Here is a 3,946-nt window from a genome sequence, read left to right on the forward strand (position 1 = left end):
CTGGGCAAGATAGTGAGATCTCATCTCTAAAAAAAATTTTTAAATCATCTATCATCGCTCTCTATTCATCTATCTATCCATGTATCTATCATGTATTTTATCTGTCACTTAGCACCTATGAATCATCCATCATCTATCAATCAATTATCTATATCATGTCTATATATCTATATATCTATGTATCAATTTATCCATCAATCATCTATCTGTCTGTTTTTGAGGCGATATTCACAAAATATACAATCAATCCCTTTAAAGTGCACAATTCAGTGGCATTTAGTATGCTCTATAGTTCCAGAACATTTTCTTCGAAATAAAAAGAAACGCGAGGCTGAGTGTGGTGGCTCATGCCTGTAATCCAGCACTGTGGGAGGCTGAGGCAGGACGATCACTTGAGCTCAGCAGTTTGAGACCAGCCTGGGCAACATAGTGAGATCCTGTCTACAAAAAAAAAAAATCACAAAATTAGTAGGGTATGGTGGCACACGCCTGTGGTTCCAGCTACTCAGGAGGCTGGGGCAGGATTGCTTGAGCCCGGGAGATCAAGGCTGCAGTGAGTTATGACTGCACCGCTGCATTCCAGCCTGGGTGACACGGTGAGGCCCTGTCTGTCTCATTAAAAAATAAAAAATAAATACAAAATTTTTTAAAAAGGACTGCCCCTGCCCCATTTTCCTTCCCCTGCCCCAGCCTCTGACACCCACTCATCTGCTTTCTGTCCCGATGAGCCTATTCTGGACATTTGTGTCTGGCTTCTTTCACCCAGCACGAACTCTTTGAGGTCTATCCGTCGTGTTATGGTGGAATGGCACCACGCCTTATGGACAGGCTGTTTGTCCATTTGTCTGTTGATGAATACTCAGGCTGTCCCACCTTTGGGAGGCTATGGCCATCCATGCATAAAGGTATGGCCGCACAGCTGTTCTCAGTTCTCATGCCTCTGAGGCCAGATGGGCTGCCACACCCTATTCCCACCAGCCACCCTCACATGCAGCCAAGTGGCCTGCAGTACTCGACACTGCTTCCCTGTTGCTGAAAGCTCCTCGGTGGCCTCTGGGCTAAGTCCTGTCTCTGTAGTGTGGCCTCCAAGGCCCGCCAGCTGCAGCCCTCCCTTCCCCTGCCCTCCCTTCCCCTGCATGCAGCACGAACACCCTGCAATGTGCTCCCAGTTCCCCCCAGGCCCCTGCACAAGTGGCCTCCTCTCCCTAGAAGGGCCAGCAGCACCCTGTGTGGCAGCTTAGACATCCTTTCTCTTGCCTTCGTGCTCCTCCCACAGGGACCAGCATGATCCCGTCCCCTAGTCCTATTTGGGCTCAGCCAGTATTTCTGTGCAATGTTGTTGCAGGTTCTGCCCCGCCACCGTCACAGGAATCCTAAGAACATTGGCGTGAGGCTCGGTGGAGGGCATGTTGGGCCATGTCTTCTGGTGACTTTCCCCCACGGAAGGGCTTGGGGATCAGGCCCACTCCTTTCCCAAACTCACTCTTTCCCCCACAGGCAACCCACTCCCTCTCCTCCATCTCACCCCAAGACCCGCAGCAGACACCACCAGACTCTGAGGCAGGGAGGAAGGACTGCATTTGCCAATGGAGGCTTTTACTGGGGGGGACTCGGGATGGCGCCCGGCCTGAGGGCTGAGGGCCCGGGAAAGGCACACGGTGGCGGTGGGGTCTCTCTCAGGAAGGCGCTGGCTCTGCAGACAGCTCCGCCTGGTGACCCCTCTTTGGCACTGAGCTGGGAACATGGTGTCCGCACTCCCGGCTAGCAAGCAGAGGCCCGTGTGGTCAGGTGGCGGCTGGCAGTGTAGGCTGGCGGGGTGACGGCCACAGGGGCTGGGTTTGACACCAGTGGGAGCCGGGGCCCTAGGGGACTCAGAGGCTGGGCAGCCCCCGCTGCTGGCAGGGTAGTCACATTGGCCACGGAGATGGCTACGAATAGGGAATCCAATAAATTAGGCTGTAGAAAGAGGAGGTGAGGGGCCGAGGGGGCGGGGCCTACATTCTCGCTCGGCAGGCAGTGCTGTGCGTCCCTCTCCCGTGGGATCTTCGGGGCTCTTGTGGGGGAGAGGATGCCGGTGAGGCGCTCTGTGTGACCGTGGGTACCACTGGGTGGCTTTTATGGCATCGCATGGGATGGGAGCCTTGGCTGGCCACCCTCAGGGGATGGATCGTGGGGTCTTTGAGAGACTGACGAGGAGGGATGCCACCTGCAGCGCCAGGGGCTGTGGCCTGAGGGGCTCCTGGGGCTCGGCTGCGCTGCTGTGCGGCCAGCACTGGGCCCCTTGCACTCCAGCTTCCTCCACGGAGCAAAGTAGAGGACTCACTGCCCTGGACAGGGCCCAGTAACTGTGGAACAGCCCCCCCCCCAGGGAGTGGGAGGGACAGGGCGAGGGTTACGCAGGGCGCCACCCTCCTCATCTACTTTCCCGAGGTCGGGAAGGGTCTTCTAGGAGGAGGGGCCAGGCATGCAGGGGCGGGGTGCGTGCGCAGGTGGGTGCTGCTATCTCCTTCATGTGATCCGAGCTTGGGGGCGGGGCAGGGGCTGGGGAGAGTGGTGTCAGGTGGAGGCACCCTGGAGGCCACCAGGGCCTTGTGGGCTAGGTGCCGGCACGTGCGCTGGGGCCGCGGCCTCGCCCAGGATTTGGCAGAGCTCCTGGAGGTGCTGCTGCATCTTGGGAATGCCCACCAGCTGCTGCTCCAGCCGCTGCTTCTCCTCTGTCAGGCTCAGGCGGGAAGCCGAGCCCAGCTTCTCAAACTTCCAGCCGCCCTCCCCATCGAACTGTAGCAAGTGTGTGTGGTACTTCCTGGCCAGGAGAGGGACAGGGTCAGGGGCATGGCACGAGGGCTGCTGATGACAGCCGCCTGCTGCTGCCGCCGGGCCCAACAGGCCACCTCCTCCCCTCAGGCAGCCACTCCCACTGACCCCAGGCAGGGAGACAGGACACCTACCACAGGGAGGGCCGGTGGGTGATGGAGAGCAGGGCAATGCCTGCGTCCTTGGCCGCCTGGAAGATCTTGCCTTCCACGTTGATTCTCATGGCGGCACTGGTGCATTCATCCAGGAGGGTGTACTTGGGCCTGGGGGTCTGGGCCGAGAGGAGAGTCTGTGCATCCTCCAGGGCCCAACACCCCAGCCTGGCTCAGGCTTCACTGAGCCCAGGCCTCCCCACAGCTGCTACTTCTCCTTCCAGGGGACCCCAGGGAGCCTGCCGGCCTGGAGTGCTCACCTGTGGTAGAACATGCGGGCCATGCCGATTCTCTGCTTCTCGCCACCCGGCGGGACGTCCTTCCAGTCACACATAGCCTCCTAACCTAGGCAGGGGCAATGGTCTTGGCTCAGTTCCACCAGTACCCAGACCTGGGGGCCAGCCGGGGAGCTGGGGCAGCTGTGGGAATGAGCTAGCTGTGACGACAGGGCCCCTGTGCCTCTGCGCCCTTGTCTGTCTGACAGACATTAATTATGGAGGAGTGGGGACTGGAATTGTGCCTTCCCCTAGAAGAGATATGGTGGAGTCCAAGCCCCAACACTTCAGTGTGACCTTATTTGGAGACAGGGCCTTCGCAGAGGTGATCACACTAAGATGAGGTCATCAGAGCAGACCCTAATTCAATATGACTATGTCCTCATAAAAAGGGGGTGTGCGGGCAGAGGACGTGCACAGGGGAACACGAGGTGAAGATACACAGGGAGAAGTGGACCATCTGCGAGCCAAGGACAGAGGCCTGGAACACATCCTTCTGTCATGGCACCTGGAAGGAACCCACCCTGCTAGTACCAGGATCTCGGGCTGCTGGATCCAGGAGATGATCCACCCCTGTGGTTTATGGCAGCCCCAGGACACCCATACAGTTTCTTGGCACAGAGCTCCAGAGCGGCCTGAGTGCTCTCCCCAGACCGGGGGCTTGTCACCCACAGGGGTTGGGCCTCCTGTCACTGCCCCGTGCCA

The 3,946-nt window shown here is 58.3% G+C and overlaps 1 pseudogene; it reads right to left on the minus strand.

Annotated features, from left to right (window-relative positions):
- Nucleotides 1-2,328: 2,328 nt before the first annotated feature.
- On the minus strand, nucleotides 2,329-3,313 carry ABCD1P3 (ATP binding cassette subfamily D member 1 pseudogene 3; annotated as a pseudogene).

Source organism: Homo sapiens, chromosome 16 (genome assembly GCF_000001405.40).
Source record: "Homo sapiens chromosome 16, GRCh38.p14 Primary Assembly".
NCBI lineage: Eukaryota > Metazoa > Chordata > Mammalia > Primates > Hominidae > Homo > Homo sapiens.